Raw genomic sequence first — 22,198 nt, 5'->3', positions numbered from 1 at the left:
CTTCCCAAGACTGCCTGCCTGGTCACTCCCTCAGGAAGGTACCTACAGCACAGCTTTCATTGTCCTGCCTGAGTGTTTTGCTGGTTGCCTGGGAGTAGTTTGGCTCCTTCTGCACAGCCAGCACTGGACCCTGAGGGGTCAGCAGACAAAACTGTAGGTGTGGTCCCAAAACTCCCAGGATTCGAGCACACTGTCCAGGGGTTTGGAGCTGAGATCTTTGGCTTGAGTTTGAGAAGGGGAAGACCCCCCCCCCGCCACTCTCAGAACACTTAGAAGAGTGATACACAGGTTTGTGTGCTGGCGTGGGAGCTGGGTGCCCCTCTCTCAACAACACTGTTTTGGGAAGGGTGTGGCCTATTAGCCAGTAGCACCTTCTTCCTCAGGGATCCCTACAGCGTGGAACACCTGGAACTGCCCAGCAATCTTGGCACAGAAGGTTTGGGACAAGCCTAGCTGGTCAGGCCCACTCCTGGGGCAGACGCTGCAGAAAGACTTACTGGGTTGGGTAAGTGTGAGCTGGCTTGGCCCCACAGCCATCTGCTGGGATAAGAACAGCAGGCCGTGGGTGCCACATGTATGGTATTACTGTCCTGCCTGGGCATCCTCTGCCCTTGACCCACTGCATCACCAGACCACCTGCAGACACACACCACAACCTGTTCTGACTCTGCCAAGCTCAGAGGACCAGTAGGTCCCCAAATAATTGTGGATTTCCTGGTGATGTAAACCTTGCCTTGGGCTGCCCCTGAGGGAGGAGGGAAAGCAGTTTGCCAGCGTTTCGCTTGAGACTAAGAAATCATGGAGGCAACACCAATAATTGAAAAGGGCTCTACCAAGACCTAGGAATGGAGTTGGTGAGGGAGTCATCTCTTGCCCCCCATCTCCCATCTCCAGACCACTTAAGAGTAAGGGCATATGGCATATGCAGCAGTCAGTAACAACAACAAAAAAAGGTGTAAGGGCATATGCAGCAGTTAAAAAAAAAAAAAAAAAGAATTAAAAATATGAACAAAGCCGACAACAGTAAGCTCCAAGAGGAGCTTGGCTAAGAGCCTATCTGCTGGCCCTTACTCTTAAGCGCCGTCTACTGGTTCGCATCCTGAATTACACCACTAAAGAAAAAATTTCTTCAACACCCAACACCTGTGAAACCCAAAGCAGGAAACTATCCACAAGTAAGTAGCCCATACAGAGCCCTGGCCCTTTGAAAGCACTCAGAAATGAAGACAATCAACTATACACAACATACACCACAGTCAAACCCTCAAGGGAAAAGGAATATATAAAAACAAAAGGCCTCATCCATAGTAGAGCAATTTAAAAAGGAAAAAGAATTGCCAGCCTCCTCATATGAGAAGGGCTCAGGCAATTCAAAAAGTCAGAGCATTTCTTTACATCCAAAGGATTGCACTAGCTCCCCAGCAATGGATCCTAACCACATTGAAATGTCTGAAATAACAGACATAGAATTCAGGGTCTGGATGGCAAGGAAGCTCAACAATAAAATCCAGAATTTGGATGGCAAGCAAGCTCAATGAAATTCAAGAGAAAATTGAAAGCCAATGCACGGAAGCCAGAAAAACAATTTAAGACTTGAACAATGACATGGCCATATTAAGAAAACCAAACTGAACTTCCGGAATTGAAAAATTCACTATGAAAATTTCAAATACTGTTGGAAGTCTTAACAAAAGACTAGAGTAAGCTGAGGAAAGAATGTAAAGGCTCAAAGACCCAGTCAGACAAAAATAAAAAAGAATCAAAAATATGAACAAAACCAGCAATAAATATGGGATTACATAAAGAGACAAAGCCTATGACTCCTTGGTATTCCCGAGAGAGAAGAAGAAAGAATAGGCAATTTGGAAGACATATTTGAGAATATAATCTATAAAAAATTTCCAGTCTTGCTAGAGAGGTTGAAATGTAAATTTGAGAAACTCAGAGAACTCCTGCAAGATACTATACAAGATGACCATCCCCAGGACATATAGTCATCAGACTTTACAAGGTCAATGCAAATAAATAAATCTTAAAGGCAGCTAGAGTAAAGGGTTATGTCACTTATGAGGGGAACCCCATCAGGCTAACAGCAGAAACATTATAAGTCAGAGATTGGAGGCATATTTTTAGCATTCTTAAATAAAAAAATTCCAACCAAGAATTTTATATCCCCTCAAGCTAAGCTTCAAAAGTGAAGGAGAAATAAAATCTTTTCCAGAGAGGTAATTTGCTACTACTAGACCTGCCTTACAAAAGATGTTAAAGGGAGCTCTAAACAAGGAAATGAAAAATCGATACCAGATACCACAAAAACATATGCAAGTATGTAGTCTATAGACCCTATAAAACAACTACACAATTGAGACCATGAAACAACCAGCCATTGACACCATGACAGAATCAAAACCTCGCATATTGGTCTAAATGCCTCACTTAAAAAGCACAGAGTGGCAAGTTGGATTAAAAAAAAAAAAGGCCCAACCTTCTGCTGTCTTCAAGAGACCAATCTCCCATGTAATGACACCCATAGGCTCAAAGGAAAGGAATGGAGAAAGATCTATTATGCAAATGGTAAACAAAAAAGAGCAGAGGTCACTATTCTTCAGATAAAACAGATTTTAAACCAAAAACAGTAAAAACAGGCAAAGAAGGTCATTACATAATGACAAATGGTTGAATTCAACAACAAGACAATTATTATAAATCTATATGCACCAAACATTGAAGCACCCAGATCATAAAACAGGTACTTCTAGATTTATGAAAAGACTCAGACAGCCACACAATAATAGGGACTATTCAAAACCCCATGGGCAGTGTTAGACAGGTCATTGAGGCAGAAAACTAACAAAGAAATTCTGGACTTAAATCCAACACTTGACCAACTGGACAAAGTAGACATCTACAGAATACCCCACTTAACAGCCACAGAATATACATCCCTCTCCTTGGCACACGGAACATACACTAACCTCAACCACATGCCTAGCCATAAAGCAAGTCTCAATAAATTCAAAAAAATCAAATTCATGCAAAGCATATTCTTAGACTACAGTGGAATAAAAATAAAAATCAACACTAAGAGTATCCCTCAAAACCACACAATTACATGGAACCTAAACAACTTGCTCCTGAATGACTTTGGAGTAAATGGAAACAGAAACAGAACATATCAAAATCTCTGGGACGCAGCACAAGCAGTATTAAAAAGAAAGCTTATAGCTCTGAATACCTACATTAAATTAACAATCTAACATTACACTTAGAGGAACTAGAAAAACAAAAACACTCCAACCCCAAAATTAGCAGAAAAAAATAAATAATGAAATCAGAGCAGAATTAAATGAAATTGAGACTCAAAAATCAATACAAAGGATCAACAAAATAAAAAGTTGTTTCTTTGAAAGGATAAACAAGATCAATAGACCGCTAGCAAGATTAATAAAGAAAAAAAGAGAGAAGATCCAAGTAAGCATAATCAGAAATGACAAAGAAGGCATTACAATGGATTCCACAGACATAAAAAAGACCTTAGAGACTGTTATGAACACCTCTGTGCATACAAGCTAGAAAATCTAGAGGACATGGATAAATTCCTGGAAGTACACAGACTCCCAAGATTGAGTCAGGAAGAAATTGAGATACTGAATAGACGAATATCGAGTTCTGATATTTAATCAGTAATGAAAAACCAGCAAACAAAAAAAGGCCGGACCAGATGGATTCACAGCCAAATTTTACCAACCATACAACGAAGAGCTGCTACCAATTCTACTAAAATTATTCCAAAAAATCAACAAGGAAGGACTCCTCTCTAACTCATTCCATGAAACTAGTATCACCCTGATGTCAAAATCTGACAAAGACACAATGAAAAAAGAAAACTACAGGCTAGTCACTCTGATGAACATAGACACAAAAACCCTCAATAAAATAAAAGCAAACCAAATTCAGCAGCACATCAAAACGCTAATTCACCATGATCAAGAAGTCTTCATTCCTCGGATGTAAGGCTGGTTCAACATATGCAAATCAATAAACATGATTCACCACATAAACAGAATTAAAAACAAAGCCCATATAATCATCTTAATAGATGTAGAAAATGCTTTTGATAAATCCCATTATCCTTTCATGATAAAAACCCTCAACAAACTAGGCATTAAAAATATATATCAAAATAATAAAAGACATCTGTGATAAACCCATAGCCAACATCATACTGAATGGGCAAAAGCTGGAAGCATTTTCATTAAGAACTGGAACAAAACAAGGATGCCCATCCTCACCACTCCTATTTGACATAGTACTGGTAGTCCTACTTAGAGCATTTGGGCAAAAGAAAGAAATATAAATCATCCAAATAGGAAAAGAAGTTAAATTATCGCTCTTCACTAATGATATGATTCTATGCTTAGAAAACCCCGCAGACTCTGCCAAATGGCTTACAGACCTGATAAATGGCTTCAGTAAAGTTTCAGTATACAAAATCAATGTACAAAATTTAGTAGTATTTTTATACACCGATAACATTCAAGCTGAGAGTTGAATCAATAATGCAATCTCACTTACGATAGCCACACACACAAAAGCAAATGTAGGACCACACTAACCAAGGATGTAAAAAATCTCTACAAGAAGAACTACAAAACACTGATGAAAGAAATCATAGATGACATAAAAATGAAAAAAAAAATTTCCATGCTCATGGATTGGAAGAACAGATATTGTTATAATAGTCATACTATCCAAAACTATCTATAGATTCAACGCTATTTCTGTCAAATTACCAATGTCGTTTTTCACAGAATTAGAAAAAAACTATTCTCAAATTCATATGGAAGCAACAAAAGAGCCCAGATAGCCAAGGCAATCCTAAGCAAAAAGAACAGAGCCGGAGGTACCACATTACCTAAATTCAAACTGTACTACAAGACTACAGTAATCAAAACAGGAGGGTACTGGTACGAAAACAGACACATAGAGCGTGGGAACAGACTGGAGAACCCAGAAATAAGGTAGCACGCCTACAATGAACTGATCTTCTACAAAGTTGACAAAAATAAGCAATGAGAAGAGAACTCCATATTCAATAAATAGCACTGGGATAACTGGATATCCACTTGACAAAAATAAGCAATAGGAAAAGGACTTCCTATTCAATAAATAGTGCTGGGATAACTGGATATCTATATGCAGAAGAATGAAACTGGACTCCTACTTCTCACCATATACAAAAGTTAACTCGAGATAGATTAAAGACTTAAATGTAAGACCTTAAGCTATAAAAATTATGGAAGAAAATCTAGGAAATGCTTTTCTGGACATTGGCCTTGGCAAAGAATTTATGACTAAGATCTCAAAAGCAATTGCAACAAAACCAAACATTGACAAGTGGGGCCTATTAAACTTAAGAGCTTCTTCACAGCAAAAGAAACTATCAACAGAGTACACAAACAACCCACAGAATGGGAGAAAATATTTGCAAACTATGTATGTGACAAAGGTCTAATATCTCGAATCCATAAGGAACCTAAATGAATCAACAAGTGAAAAACAACCCTGCTAAAATGTGGGCAAAGGACTCATCTCAAAAGAAGACATACAAGTGGCCAAGAAACATATTGATACATGCTCAACATCACCAATTGTAAGATAAATGCAAATCAAAACTACAATGAGATACCATCTCACACCGGTCAGAATTGCTATTATTAAAAAGTAAAAATAGAGGCCGGGTGCAGTGGCTCATGCCTACAATCCTAGCACTTTGGGAGGCCGAGGCAGGCAGATCACCTGTGGTCAGGAGTTCAAAACTAGCCTGGCCAACATGGGGAAACCCCGTCTCTACAAAAAATACAAAAATTAGCCAGGCATGGTGGCAGGTGCCTGTAGTCCCAGCTACATGGGAGGCTGAGGCAGGATAATTACTTGAACCTAGGAGGCGGAGATTGCAGTGAGCTGAGATTGCACCACAGCACTCCAGCCTGGGCAACAGAGTGAGACTCGATCTCAAAAATAAATAAATAAATAAATAAATAAATAAATAAATAAATAAAAGGTTAAAATATAATATGTTGGCAGGGCTGCAGAGAAAAAAGAACACTTATACACTGTTGGTGGGAATGTAAATTAGTTCAGCCACTGGGGAAAACAGTTTGGAGACTCCTCAAAGAAATAAAAATAGAACTACCATGCTGGGGTTGGTTGCTGGTTCTAAAAATAGAACCTAGCAATCTCATTACTAGGTACATGTCCAAAGGAAAATAAACCATTTTACCAAAAAGACATATGCACTCATATGTTCATTGCAGCACTATTCATGATAACAAATACATGGAATCAACCTATGTGCCCATCAATGGTGGACTGAATTATGATAATGTGGTACATATACACCATGGAATACTTCACTGCCATAAAAAGTGAACAAAATCATTTCCTTTGCAGCAACATGGATGCAGCTAGAGGCCATTATCCTAAGCATGTTAATGCAGTAACAGAAAATCAAATACCACATGTTTTCACTTATAAGAGGAGGATAAGCATTGAGTACACATGGACATAAATATGACAACAAAAGTCACTGATCACTACAAGAGGGGGTAGGGAGTAGGGGGTCAATGGCTAAAGAACTACCTGTTGTGTACCATGCTCACTATGTGGGTGATGCATTCAATTATAACCCAAACTGCAGCAGCACACAATATTTGCTTGTAACAATCCTGCACGTGTACCCCCTGAATCTAAAATAAAAGTTGAACTTAAAAATAGAGACTAATAAAATAATACAAAAGATCAATGAACTGTAAAATTGATTTTTTTTTTTTGAGATGGAGTTTTTTGCTCTTGTTGCCCAGGCTGGAGTGCAATGGTGCAATCTCGGCTCACTACAACTTCTGCCTCCCGGGTTCAAGCAATTCTCCTGTCTCAGCCTCCCCAGTAGCTGGGATTACAGGCATGCGCCACCACGCCCAACTAATTTTGTATGTTTAGTAGAGACAGGGTTTCACCATGTTCATGAGGCTGGTCTCGAACTCCTGACCTTGTGATCCGCCAGCCTTGGCCTCCCAAAGTGCTGGGATTATAGTCGTGAGCCACCGCGTCCAGCCAATTTTTTAAACAGATAAACAAATGTAACAACTCTTTAGCCAGACTAAGAATGGAAGAGAGAAGACTCAAATAAATAAAATCAGAAATGAAAAAGGAGACACAACAACTGAGACCTCAGAAATACAAAGGATTGTTAGAGACCATTTTGAACAACTGTACACCAAAATATTGGAAACCTAGAAGAAGTAGATAAATTCTTGTAAATACACAACCTATGAAGATTGAACCATGAAGAAAAAGAAAACCTGAAGAGATCAATAAGGAATAATGAAATCAAAGCAGTAATAGTCTCCCATCAAAGAAAAGCCCAACACTTGATGGATTAATTACTGATTTCTACCAAACTTTTAAGGAAGAACTAATACCAATTCTACTGAAACTATTTCAAAAAATTGAAGAGGAGGGAATTCTTCCAAACTCATTCTATAATGCCAGTATTATCCTGATAGCTAAACTAGACAGGTACACACACAAAAAAATCTATAGGCCAACATTCCTCATAAACATAGATGTAAAAACCCTCGACAAAACATAATTCAATAAGACATTAAAAAGAACATTCACCATAATCAAGTGGGCTTCATCCCAAAGATGCAAAGATGGTTCAACGTATACAAATCAATAAGTGTGATATATCACAACAAGAGAATCAAGGACAAAAAGCATAGGATCATTTTGATACATGCTGAAAAAGTATTGGTAAAATTTAACATTCCTTCATGATAAAAACTCTTAACAAATTGGATATAGAAAGAAAATATCTCAATATGATAACAGCCATATATTACAAACCCACATGTAAGATCACACTGAAAGGGGGAAAATTGAAAGCCTTTCCACTAAGATTTAGAAGAAGACAAGGATGCTCACTTTCATCACTTTTATTCAACCTAGTTCTGGAAGTCCTAGCCTGAGTGCTTAGGGAAGATAAAGAAACAAAGGGCATCAAAATTGTAATGGAAGAAGTCAAATTATCTTTGCAGATGACATGATCTTACTTTTAGAAAAACCTAAAGACTCCACCAAAAGTTCCTGGAACTGATAAATTAATTCTATAAAGTTGCTATACACTAACAGAAATCAATCTGAAAAGCAATCAAGAAAACAATCCCATTTATAATAGCTTAAAAATACCTAAGAATAAATTTAACTAAAGAAGTGAAATAACCTGTACAAATCAATGATGAAAGAAACTGAAGACACACAAAAGATGGAAAGATATACCATGGTCTTTGATTGGAAGAACTAATACTGTTAAAATATCTACACTACCAGAAATGATCTAAATAATTAATGTAATCCATGTCAAATTACCAATGACATTCTTCACAGAAACGGAAAAAATATCCAAAAATTTGTAGGGAACAAGAAAAGGCCCTAAATAGCTAAAGCAGTCCTGAACAAAAAGAACAAAGCTGGAGTCATCCCATTACTTGATTTCAAATTATACCACAAAGCTATTGTAATCAAAATAGCATGGTACTGGCATAAAAACAGATGCATACACCAATGGAACAAAATAGAGAACCCAGAAGTAAATCCTTGCACTTACAGCCAACTCATTCTTGACAAAAAGGCATCAAGAACATACAGTGGGGAAAAGGACAGTTTCTTCAATAAATGATGCTGGGAAAATGAGATATCCATGTGAAGAAAAATGAAATTAGATCTTTGTCTTTCATCATGTACAAAAATCAACTGAAAATAGATTAAAGACTTAGCTATGTGACCCAAAACTATGAAACTACTAGAAGAAAATGCTGGGGAAACACTACAGGACATTGGTCTGGGCACAGGTATTTTTTGGCTAAGATCTCAAAAGCACATGGAACAAAAGCAAAAATAGACAAATTTACATCAAGCTAGAAAGTTTCTGTAGAGCAAGGAAACAATCAACAAAGTGAAGAGACAACCTGTAGGATGGGAGAAAATGTTTGCAAACTATCTATCTGACAAAGAAATAATAACCAGAATATATAATGAACTCAAACAACTCAACAGTAAAATCCTTCAAATAATTCAATTTAAAAATGAGCATAATACATGAATAGACATTTCTCAAAAGAAGACATACAAATGGCCAACAGGTATATGAAAAATGTTGAACATCTTTAGTTATCAGAGAAATGCAAATCAAAACCACATTGAGGTTATATCTTACCCAAGTTAAACTGGCTATTATCTCAAAGACAAAAAATTTAAAAATCCTGGCAAGGATGCAGAGAAAGGGGAATGCTCCTACACTGTTGGTGGAAATGCAAAATAATGTAGCAATTAGGGGAAAGAGTATGGAGCGTCCTCAAAATACTAAAATAGAACTACCATATAATCTAGTAATCCTAATGTTGGGTATATTTTCAAAAGAAAGGGACTCAGTATGTAGAAGTGATATCTGCATTCCCATTTTTTTGTGACAATGGTCTCAATAGTTACCTAAGTGTCCATCACTGGATGAATGGATAAAGAAAATGTAGTATATATACACAATGGAATATTATGCAGTCATAAAAAGGAATGAAATACTATCATTTGCAGGAACATAGATGGAACTGAAGGTCATTATTTTAAGTGAAATAAATCAGGCATAGAAAAACATCCCATGTCCTAGCTCATATGGGGAGCTAAACAAGTTGGTCTAATGGAGGTAGAAGGTAGATTGGTGGTTACCAGAGGCTGGGAATAGAAGGGAGTGGGGGTGGGGAGGCGGCAAAAAAAGAAGTTGGTTAATGAGTACAAAAATACAGTTAAATGGAAGAGATAAGTTCTAGTATTTGATAGTACTGTAGTGATATAATTTGGTTGTTTGTCACCTCCAAATCTTATGTCAAAATGTGGCCCCCAGTGTTGGAGGTGAGGCCTGGTGGGAGGTGTTTGGATCATGGGGAATGGATTCCTCAAGAATTAGGCTTAGCGCCATCCCCTTGCTGGTGAGTGAGTTCTCGTGAGATCTGGTTGTTTAAAAGTGTGTGGCAGCTCACCCCTGCGTCTCTTGCTTTTGCTTTCACCATGTGACATGCTGGCTCCCTGTTGCCTTCCACAATGATTAAAAGCTTCCTGAAGCCCTTACCAGAAGCAGATGCCAGCACCACACTTCTTGTGCAGCCTGCAGAACTGTGAGCCAATTAAACTTCTTTTCTTTGTAAATTACCCAGTCTCAGATATTTCTTTATAGCAATGCAAAAATGGCCTTATACAAGTAGGGAGATTATAGTTCACAATAATTTATTGTATATTTCAAGATAGCTAGAGGAGAAGAATTGCAATGTTTCCAACACAAAGAAGAGATGAATGTTTGAGGTGATGGATATCCCAGTTACCCTGATTTGATCATTATGCATTGTATACATGTTTCAAAATTTCACATGTACCCCACAAATATGTATAATGATTGTATATCAAGAAAAAATAAAAACAAAAACCAAAAAAGAAAGAAACTACAAGAGCTCACTTGGGAAGGTGATACATCTATTACCATTAAGTCATCCCAGAACACAGGTCACAGAGCAACATGCTGATATTCTATCAGAATTGTCAAAATTATACAGATATAGTGTGAAGAGGGTCTTGGGGCTTACCTTAAAAGAGATTTCATACTGTTCTCCTCCCCAGATTTCTAAACCTGGATCATAGCCACCCAATTCCCAAAACCATTTCCGATCCACAGCAAAGAGACCTCCAGCCATAACAGGAGACCTGTGAAATGAACAAAATAATCTTTAAAGGACTATGAACGTTACAGACAATGGCATTTTCCTTGGGAAAAAAGTAAAATTCAAGATATGTTTTAGTGGTCAGCTGTGTGGAACTTTTCAGCACTGGTTTTCTGTAAGTGGATATAGGGTTCTCATTGGGTCTCTCACTGAAGTGGACATGGATGGGGAGGGAGAAAAATTCTTGTGAGCATTAAATATTTGCAGTTCAGGTTTTAATGCAACAATTGCCCTGCAGAGTCACATTTGCTCCACTTGTTTATCACTAGTGAGAAATATTACTACATGAGTAATAATGACCCATAAAGTGAGAAATATCACTCAATTTTATGGTTTTTCCTGAAACTAAAGGGATCTTATACTATCAGACATATAAAAGTATTGAAAATGCTTTTGTAGACAATATCTTTGAGTAATCTCTCAGTACGCATTCACTAAGCATCTACTATGAACAGGTCATGTCCAATTTACAAACTACAGATCGGCAGGTTAGAATAAAATAAGAAACCAGAATTAGTTGTTTAATGTGCCAAAGTTGAAATTTAAACTAAGTCTTTTCATTTTATACTATTCTTTTTAGGCCTTCTCTGCCTAAGAAATATTAATTTTGATTAAATAATAATTTTCAAGTATTCCACTCCTGCTAGGATGCATTTCAGTCATGTAATAAGATAATTATAACCACTTGGTAGGCCCTGCCCTAAATATTTTTGCAGTTCAAAGGTGCTCTTGTTTATTTTTTTTTTTTTGGACTGCTCACTATGTGCTGGTCTAAAGGATAAAAATCTATACCTAATTACCTTGATCGATCCTCACAACAACCCTGTGAACAACCTCCCTATGCACACGGTTTGAGGAATCACGCAGAAGAGGTGGAATGTTGCCCAAGGCTGAGGCTAGCGTGGTGAGGCTGCGCTAGGGCTCTTCACCACAACACTGTTTCTGTTTCAATGTTCAGAGGCAAAAGAGATAACTATATACAAATGGATATGAAACAGAGAACACCCTTATGCAGATCAAGCAAATCGATAAAAACACATAACTGAAGTGACAGTTTTGAAAACTTTTTTGAAACAAAGGATATTTATAAATAACAGTACAACATTTCAAATGTTGATATACACAAAAAGATATGCATAACCATAGTAGACACCAATCCAATTTATTGAACAACTGAGAACTTAGTCTTGGTAATGCTTTATGAAGCACTTGGGGAACATAAACCTGAATCTGTCTAAGTGTATTATATATTTCAAAGAGTTTGCATGCTAAGATGGTACTTGATTTAATTACTTCAGTCTAGGAATTGTTTTGAAGGTGTAGGCTTTATGCAGATGAAGAGATTACAAGACTGGGAGAGGAATTTAGGTTTTTCTCCAGGAAAGTGGGCAGAATTCAGAAAATAATATAAAGACACTCTCTCATGTAATTTTTTGTTTTGTAATAAAAATCCTAGAATCATATGTGCCTTACTTTATCCCTCTCTCTAGCAGCCTGATCTTTTCCCATTTTTCACCCACTGAATTTCAGAGTGGAATTACAACTGAAGCTGCAACAAACTAGGATTGTAACATTTATCGAGTGCAGTTCCCCAAAGAACACTTTACCAATTGTAAGCATTACTTCTGCAAGTGTTGGTTATAAGTAGTCAGAAATTCTCAGTCTTATTTAATCTGAACTGCAAATAGAAAGGTCCCAAGTCATACAAACATATTCTCATTTGATTGTGTAAAACATGAGACAAAGGGCACCAAAACTTACACTGTGCACAATGAATCTCAAAACTAGAACCACCATAGATACAGTGTTAGAGATATTGGGCAAGAAAAATTCTAAATTGAGTTTTTATTACAAATTGTCAGAAACACAATAATCTTGTTTTCTTAACGAGTTTATACAAAACCCATGCAGTGTATCTTAGGTTATTTTAGACATATAATAACATAAATTCAAATGGATCTTCTGTACCTTTACTGATGTTCCTACAAAGACCTAAATAAATTAGTATCTCCTGTCTTGATTGGTGTGAATGACCGTTAAGAAATAAACTTTTTATTTACTGTGTTTATGTATTTACTCATATTTGCCCGTGAGTTTTAAAACAGCTTAATTGTTGTGTAATTGACATATAATTGATTGCACATATTTTAAGTGTACAGTTTGATAGGTTTTGACTTGTGTTTATCTCCGTGCAGCCATCACTGAAAATGGACCTATCCATTATTTGTCAAAGTTTCCTCATGTCTCTTTGTAATCTCTTCTCATTTCCTTCCAACAGGCAATGACTGATCTGCTTTCTGTCACTGTAGATTAGTTGGCATTTTCTACAACTATATATACATAGAATTATACAGTATACATTTTTTGGGGGGTCTGTCTTCTTCCATTCAATATAACTATTTTGAGATTCATCCATGCTATAGCGTGTATCAATGGTTCATTATTTTTAAATTGCAGAGTAGTATTCTATTTGCATGAATTTACTGCAATTGATTATCCATTCACCTGTTGATGGACGTTTGGGTTGTTCGCAGTTTGGGGCTATTACAAATGAAACTGCCATAAACTTTGTGTACTAATCTTTGTGTGGATGTGTGCTTTTATTTCTCCTGGGAATATTCCTAGAAGTGGAATAACTAGATCATATAGTAGGTATGTCTAATCTTTCAATAAACTGCCAAACTGTTTTCCAAAGTGGCTGTACCATTTTCTATTCCTGGAAGCAGTGTTGAGTTCCATTTACTTCATGTCCTCACCAACACTTGTTATGGTCAGTCTTTTGAAGTTTAGTCATGATAATAGGTGTGTAGTGGTATCTTCCTTTGGTTTTATTTTGCATTTCCATAATTATTAATAATGTTAAAGTGTTTGTATCATTTCTCTTTTTTCCTAGTAAGTCTGGCTAGAGGCTTATCAATTTTATTAATCTGTTGAAAGAACTAACTTTTGGTTTCATTGATTTTCTTTATTGTTTTACTGTTTTATATTTCATTGATTTCTCTTTAGTCTTTATTATTTTAATTCTTCTGCTTACTTTGGATTTAATTTGCTCTTCTTTCCTGGTTATTTAAGGTGGAAACTGAGATAACTGATTTGTGACTTTTTTCTAATATAGGTGTTTAGTACTATAAATCTATTCCTACCTATTGCTTTAGCAGACTACTACAAATATAAGAATACATCATGTTCTTATTTTCATTCAGTTCAAAATATTTTTTAATTTCTCTTTTATTTTTTGACCTATATGTTATATAGAAGTATATAACTTAGTTTCCAAATATTTGGGGAATTTTTTGGAGATCCTTCGGTTATTAATTTCCAATTTAATTCCATTGTGGTCAGAGAATACACTTTGTATGACTTGAATTCTTTTAAATTTATTGTGACATTTTAATGGCTTAGAATATGGTCTATCTTGGTAAATGTTCCATGTGTATTTGAAAAGGATGTGTATTCCATTCCTGTTGGGTACAGTGTTCTATAAATATTTATTAGGTCAAGTTGGTTGATAGTGTTATTCAAATCTCCTATATGCTTATTGATTTTATGTCTCCTTGATGTATCAATTACTGAAAGAGGGGTATTGAAATCTATGACTATAATTCTGGATTTGTTTATTTCTTCCTGCTATTCTGTCAGTTTTTTGCAACATGTTTCCGTAGCTCTCTTAATAGGTGCATAAATGTTCAGGCTTTTTTGTTGTTGTTGTTGTTCTTGATGAATTAACTTTATTATTGCTATGAAATGACTTTTATTATCCCTAATAATGTTCTTCACTCTGTCATCTATTTTGTCTTGATATTACTATAGTCACTCCAGCTTTATTTGGATTTGTATTATCTAAATACTAGTATTTATAACTTTTTCTATCTTTTTACTTTTAAACTATTTGTGTCTTTATGCTTAAAATAGTTTTCTTATAGGTAACATATACTTGCATCTTGCATGTCAACTGGATTATTTAGATCACTTACTTTCAATATGATTATTCATGTGTTTAGGTTGAAATCTATCATCTTCCTCTTTCTCTTCTATTTGTCTCACCTGTTGTTTCCTTTCCCCATTTTTTGTCTTCTTTTTGATTAACCGAATATTTTTCATAATTTCATTTATTGTCCTTTTTGACATAAAAAAACTCCTTGTTTCTTCATTTTAAGTGGTTTCTTTGTTATCATAATGGTTTATGGCATATACCTTTCTTTTATTGCAATTTATGTTGCGATATTATGTCACTTCACATATACTATAAAAAACTTTTGAGAGTATGGCTCTATTTCTCTTCCCCCAGCCTATGTCTTTGTTATCATACATTTTACTTTTACACGTTTTAAATCCCACATTGTATTATTATTATTTTTGTTTAATTGGCCAATTAACTTTTAAAAAGATTTAAATAATATTTTATTTTGAACACCGTTTTATATAGATGAAATTATATTATGAACACCATTTCTCTATTCTGTTGGAAATAAGTGGCCCTAAGGAAAATTTAAATTGTGATGTATTATGCACAACTGAGTTTGTGGATTGAAATTCATACTCCACCACCAAAACAGGAGTTAACTATTGTGCAGTGTTGTACTGAAGTTAACAAGGATGACAGTTTCCCTCATTCATTACAGATAAAAGATTTTAATGTGTCACATTGTTTTTTCATTAGAGGAAATGAAAAAGAGTAGTTTATTATTTTGAGCATGTTCTACCAGTCTTTCGCTTAAAATATAATATTAATTACTTGAAACTTTAGCCATAGGTTCTATTGCCTACAATCTCCCACTTGTTTATCTTCACATTGTTTGTTTTCTTGCAAAATATTCTTGCTATTTTTGTTTCCCTGAAAATGTTAACACATTGCAGGTGTGTTTTAATGTGGCTCTGTGTCCATGTAACTTTTAACATATTAATGTACTTTATGAATATTGCTCACAATATCACAAATCAGGCTTTGAATTTTGCTACTAATACAAACCTGTTATCCATGAGATGCCTTTTAAAATTAATATGATCATGAAGCAACAGGTTCTTACTGAAGATTTTTTTTTCTACAGGCCATAGAAATACATGACTTTTCTGAATATTTAATGGAAATCAATTTTCTATTTTATGTTAAATCTGTTAAATAAGGTAATAAATATGCTTTCCTTTTTACTCATATGGTAGACTAGTTTACTTTTCTATAGCAATTTTTATATTCTAAACTTAGCTAAATTTTAAATTAATGAGGCTATAAGGTAAAGTGTACTAAAACCATTCTTTATTTGGTATCAGGAAAACATTCTTTATGTTTTCATTTGTGAATGCATTTTTCAAAATGTGTAGTTGATCATCTTCTCTAAACCAAGATACAGTACTTAATGCTTGTAGCCTTGGTGACTCTTACAGTATTCTAAGGAGTTGCTGATCTTCCTAATATTCTCTATTTCACATATTGACTCTTTATGCCATAAATGAAAAAAAAGGTGGAGTTTAATTAAAAATTTCTCTGGCTTATTCTTGCCTACTTTCTCACATTTTCAGACATTATTTCAAGTTTTAATGCATCTTGTATAATCTTTGGGGGTCAGAATAATAAAAAAGACATCATATTTAAAGATAAACATACATAAAGAATTTTATTAAAAAATTTACTTACTATTAAAACTTAGGTTCAGTAAACTAAAGGAGACTACCAATTTGGCCTCTTAGAAAATAAACTGGCTCACAATTTCCATTCATTTCAATGGCCACAGTGAGCATTCTGGACATGTGGCTTGCAATGTGAATTTGATCAGCAATGAAACGGCACAGTTTCCCCCAGGACTCAGTCAATCCAAGTCAATAAACATATAGATGAACCACATAATTTTCAATTATATAACCAGAAATCTTTAGTTGGCCCATGACTCAAAACACTTGCAGCTAAAAATATAATTATTTTCAACTAGAATTCAATTGTGGAGTAAAATGATATTTCAGGTTAAAACACTCTTTTTAAACACTTTGAAGTATGAAAGCATTGCTTACATTAGAATTTTGAAAAGAGTGGCTAAATAACTACAGATACATTCATTTGTATAATTCATGTCTAGAAATTACCATTTTTTATAATTTGTTTACTTTTTATGGTGTCACGAGGTTCTATGGGGATAAGAGAGGACTATTCTCCTGGTATGCAAGGAGATGATCACTCTAGGGGCAAAGATAGAAGCTGTTCCTGGGCTGGGGGTCATTTTGAAAAGTTATCTGCACTCATACCCCAGGGTATATTGCAATGCGTAACTGGATTTACTGGATTTCAGAGCTTCTCAAAATGAAAGTGGAAGCTGCTCCTTAAAAATAAAAAAAGCTCTCTGTTTTCCTAGATTTACAAATGCAAATGCAAATGTTTAGAAAAGAGTTAGTAGAAAAGGAATAAGGCCAACTAGTTATCCAAAAGCAGGTGGCAGAATTATGACTTCTCAGCTTTTTGGATAAGATGAGGAAGAAAACAAAATTATAAATCATGGTACAAATTTTGTGCTATTTTGTACCATGATTTATAATTCTGTTTTTATCACACACATAATGACATATAATACTGTTATGGTTTAAAAGGTTTTATAAGATTGAATATGCTTTTTGCTGCTTACTTCATATGTAGAATAGTAGACTCCTCTGTGAAAGGATATAAAGACTTGATGGAAATCTTGTGTATGTCAGTACCAATTATATAAGGCATTAAACCAAACTATAGCCATAAATATTGTGTGAGGGCCTTGGTTTGATGTTTCAATTAAGTTGTTGGTTCTGAAGTAGCTCAGAATATTGCTGCCTCCATATCTTCAGTGGTTGGCACTGATCTTTACATGAGATGAAATTGAAAACTGTGGATGCCAAAGGCCTACATCAACAATATCTTAGTGGGTACAGGAGGTAAATGGATAAGATGCTGTAAAGCTTTTTTCAGTCTTAGTCTTCTGTTATGTGACCAAGATGCTTTGTCCCTCTGTTACTTTTCTGTGGTCAAAAATGTTTTGTTCTTATTTGTGTGTGTGTGTGTGTGTGTGTGTGTGTGTGTGTGTTTATGTATGAGCAAAGGGAGGATCTAACAACAATGGAGGGTTCCAAAATTCCCTTCGTCATTCCTACAATAAGTGATAGATAGCTTCGCCTGGTGAATAGAGCTGATCTTTCCTGCTGTTCAGTAGGTGGATGGTAAACAATCTGCTGGGGTCACCCACACTCCACTCCTAAAAATGGCAGAACACATCTTGTCTCCTTTGAAGAAATCTCCTCAAAGATGTCTGGGGACATACAAAATGTAAATATGATGGCTTATTTTCTTAAGTCATTTCCTGTCCATTTCTCTCTGAGGAATGAGAAGGATTGGAACCTTGGCTAAAGTATAGATTTGGGTTCCTTTTTATATTCCAAAATTATGCCCCTAGTCTAATTATTCAGCAATTCTTATTGGATTCATTCATTTCTAATTTCTAAGCGGCCTTAGATTCACATTACTTAATAGGATAATGACCTTGGTAATGTTTCAATTATTAATCATTTTCTAATGCAATCTCAATGCAAACTCACCCTGCCTGAGAGGAGAAGTGAGGTCACATTAACATTAATAGCCAGATGACAAGGGTCTTTGGGTCCATCTGTGTGATAGCAGCGCTTCAGTGTTTTGCCCATTGGATTTTCCTGGTTTTCTGAGAGTCCCCAGGGATGTGACCATATCCTCAGAAACAAGTCTGCTCGTGCTTTTCTCCTCTGACCCATTAAGTCACCTTGCTATGGTGCCTGTTGCCAGCCCCCTCCAGCTGGCAGCTGCTCTGCCAGCCATGGTCAGACCCTGCTGCTAGTCCCCTGGAGTGGCCTTTCTGGGGAAGGTTGCCCTGGGACCTAGGCCTAGAGCCGTGTGTCCTGTCCTAGGCTTGAGTGCTAAAGCCACACTGCGAATGTCCCGAGCTTCACAAAGTCTTTTGTCAAAACAACTCTTTCTCTTTTGAAATTCACCTTGCTCTCCACAGGGGCCACCATGCAGTCTCTCAGGCCAGACGGGAGCAGACGCCATCGTGTCACCTTGAGGTTCTCCTTATTGACTTTTGCTCCTCTCCCAGTTTCCCAAATGCTTCTCTAATTCTTTAGCTTAAAAAAATTGCCAACCACACACCTAACGATACATGTAAATGGATGCCCCAGGGTGTCACCAGCTCTGTCAGTCTCTGAATCCCAGTTTGGGCTTAGCAAAGGTACCCAACTTCTCTTACATAAAACATAGATTAGATCTTATAACACTATCAGGATGGGGACTCTGAAACCCTCCTGTTTCCCACCTCATTTGTCCTCCAACATGACCTTTGCCCCTTTTCTAAATCCACAATTTGGCAAGGAGGGGTCCCTGAGACCCTGACACAATGTTGATGAGTGCACACTACTGGGCTTTAGCTTCTGCATCCCATCTTAATTCTAGTCTATCTGTTTCCACATTCCCTTACACTCTCCATCCAACCCTGGAAGGATCCTTTCCCATTGCTCTCCCCTCTTTAGTCCAGGCTCTTATCTCTCCCATAAACACCAACATCAAAATGTGATGTGAAATGGCAGAGCAAATCAGTGACTTCATCCGTAATGGAGACTGTTAAAAGCTGAAAATACCCAGCGGAGAGTGGAGAGCCTTTCTTCTTGGACACAAATATAACTTTTCATTCATGGGATAAATAAATGCTTGTTATTAAAATCCAAGCATGCTTGAAACTGCAGGAAAGCTTGTTTTATGCTTCATTTATTTAATACACATTTGACAGTTTCTTCTTATGAAAACATTACTCCTTCATCTTAGTAAGGAAGGCAAAATGTGCTTTTTCTCTACAGCACTGATTGCAACTCAAAGGCAATTTTGGTCTCATTTCCTGACACTTTATATCAAGCAAAAATTTACTGCATGTGGCATGGATTTTTTAATACCTCTGATCAGCCCTTTACCTTTTAATAAATTTATACTGTACGTTTACACCCTGCTTAATGACCTTAATTTCTTAAAAACAAAACAACAACAAAAAAACAGGACCTGAGGAAAAGAGTTCTTAAGCAAAAAGTCTACAGGTATAACTTATCAAAAGTCTGGAAAAAAGCATCACCTTATTTGCCCCTCTAGGTCAAGCCTATCCACAAAGAAGTTTCATCTAACTCTGACAGGAGGGAAAAACAGCACCCTTGTTGTGTTCTACTTCTACCTGTCTCCCTCACGATCTATGGCAGCTTTGAGACATGTTCACAAGATCTTAAACTGTTTCCCATTGAGAAGTGGGGTCTGTGTCCCTCCTTTTGAATCTAGGTGGGATTGTGGGTGCTCTGACCCATAGAGGATGACAGACTTCACCCCCTGTGACTTCTGAGGTGCTTTATGAAAGACCATGTAGCTCCTGTCTTGTTTGTTGGAACATTTGATCTTTTAGCTCTGAGTTATCGTGAGAGAATTCAGCCTACATGGAAGCCACCAGGCTAGGAGGAAGCACTGAATGTTGAGAGTCTTTGTAACACATTAAGTAGCATGGCTTTGATTGGGAACTTTCGGTTGTTATTCTTTCCTCCCTCAGGGACACTGGTGGAAGAGTCTTTCCTTGCATAAATGCAAACACAAAATTTTGTATAAAGATTCAAGGGAATTATAGATGCTCCTGGAAGGCCAATCCAAGAAAGTTTATGAATCTTGGGTTAATAATTTTAGCCAGTATGTGACTAGGTACCACTGAAGAATTTTAATCAGGAGAATAATACATGCAGATTTCTGTTTTCGATGGAGTACTCGGATGGCATAGAGAGGGTGAGTTTGAGGGTGACAACACCAGAGCACAGAGCCCCGTTAGGAGGTAATGGCAGTCCAGGACAGATGAGGCACTTTTGCTAGTGCCATGGAAACAAAGATAAATAGGATGAATATTTAAGAGATAAAATTGGCAGGAGGTAGTGATTGACGGGAGAGGTGGGGTGGGATAGGCCTGTAACTAGTCAAGAAAAGAGGAAATGCAGGTGTAACAAAAGCAGAAAAGATCAAGCTAACATTACAGTTTTGGGTCAGAAAGTAAGATCTGCCTACAAAGAGTGAGATTTCTTTTCTGGTTTGACTCTTAAGCAGACTCCAAAAGTAATCTGGGAAAATGAGTTCCAAAAGTGTTTCTTGTAGTTACTCTTTGGAACAGTCTCCTGAGGCTAAACAATGTGCTATTCTTTTTTGAAGGATAACTTATTTGGATGGATATTTCTGCATTTTTCTTTATTTAAAGTCTCACTACATTGTAATGCATTTTGCATTTTTAGGAGAAGGTATTTACATTAAAACTCAAGCATGCTGATTTAGAAATCACAATAAAATAGAAATGCTTAAAATAATTGAGATGAACAGAAGGTAATTAGAATAAACTTCTACTAATTTGTCCTAATTGAGGGGAAGGGCAGTCAAAATTCATCAAAATCAGAAGTATAGGATGCTGTTTTCATTCACATTTTTATCCTAAAAATAATCTGAGGAAAAAAATTAGTTTCTCCCCCGCCCTGACGATCACATAATTGCTTCCTATTTCTGTTCTGCAAATTAGCATGGAGGATACATGTAATCAAAACTCTACTTCTTATGACCACTGTGGACAAAAATCAGTGTTGTTATAGCAGAAATGAATCCCCAAATATCTCTGTATCTTTTTGTTTAGAATATACTAAACTTGCTGGGCACAGTGGCTCACGCCTGTAATCCCAGCACTTTGAGAGGCCGAGGAGGGTGAATCACCTGAGGTCAGGAGTTTGAGACCAGCCTGACCAACATGGTGAAACCCCGTCTCTACTAAAAATACAATATTAGCCGGGCATGGTGGCGCATGCCTGTAATCCCAGCTAATCGGAGCTAATCGGGAGGCTGAGGTGGGAGAATCACTTGAACCCGGGAGGAGGAGTTTGTGGTGAGCCAAGATCGCGCCATCACACTCCAACCTGGGTGAAAGAGCGAAACTCCATCACCAAAAAAACCCCAAAAAACAAACAAACAAACAAACAAACAAAAAACTATGCTAAACTTTACCAGTATCTCCAAACTGATCATTGAGAAAGAATTGTACCATTTGCCTTGAAGGACAATTTTGAGTGTTATTTCTCAACTTTTATATATACAATATAACACACACACACACACACACACACACACACACACTCTCACACACACACACCCCCCCCAGAGTCAGAGACTATAGATCCTACTGCTCCCTCTGTTGGGCTAAAAAGTGTGAATGTGAAGCCTGGAACATGCATGCATAAGTCTATGACATTTTCCTCACTATTTTATTAGTGAGGAAAAAGAATGAAGGAAAAGTAGATCAGTATAGCCATATCTGAAGAGCCTATTTCCTGGGTCCATTTCCTGC

At 36.6% G+C, this 22,198-nt stretch overlaps 1 protein-coding gene across 8 annotated transcripts in view; it reads right to left on the bottom strand.

Moving 5' to 3' along the window:
• Positions 1 to 22,198, bottom strand: part of GALNTL6 (polypeptide N-acetylgalactosaminyltransferase like 6) — a 1,228,156-nt gene that overhangs the window by 147,961 nt on the left and 1,057,997 nt on the right. For all 8 annotated transcript variants that reach the window (NM_001034845.3, XM_017008243.3, XM_017008244.3 and 5 more), the window contains one exon: positions 10,692 to 10,809. In NM_001034845.3, the coding sequence (NP_001030017.2) occupies positions 10,692 to 10,809 (118 nt within the window). The remainder of the gene's footprint in view (positions 1 to 10,691; positions 10,810 to 22,198) is intronic.

Source organism: Homo sapiens, chromosome 4 (genome assembly GCF_000001405.40).
Source record: "Homo sapiens chromosome 4, GRCh38.p14 Primary Assembly".
Taxonomy (NCBI): domain Eukaryota; kingdom Metazoa; phylum Chordata; class Mammalia; order Primates; family Hominidae; genus Homo; species Homo sapiens.
Note: the sequence above shows the minus strand (reverse complement) of the source record. Positions and strands in the feature narration are given on the sequence as shown.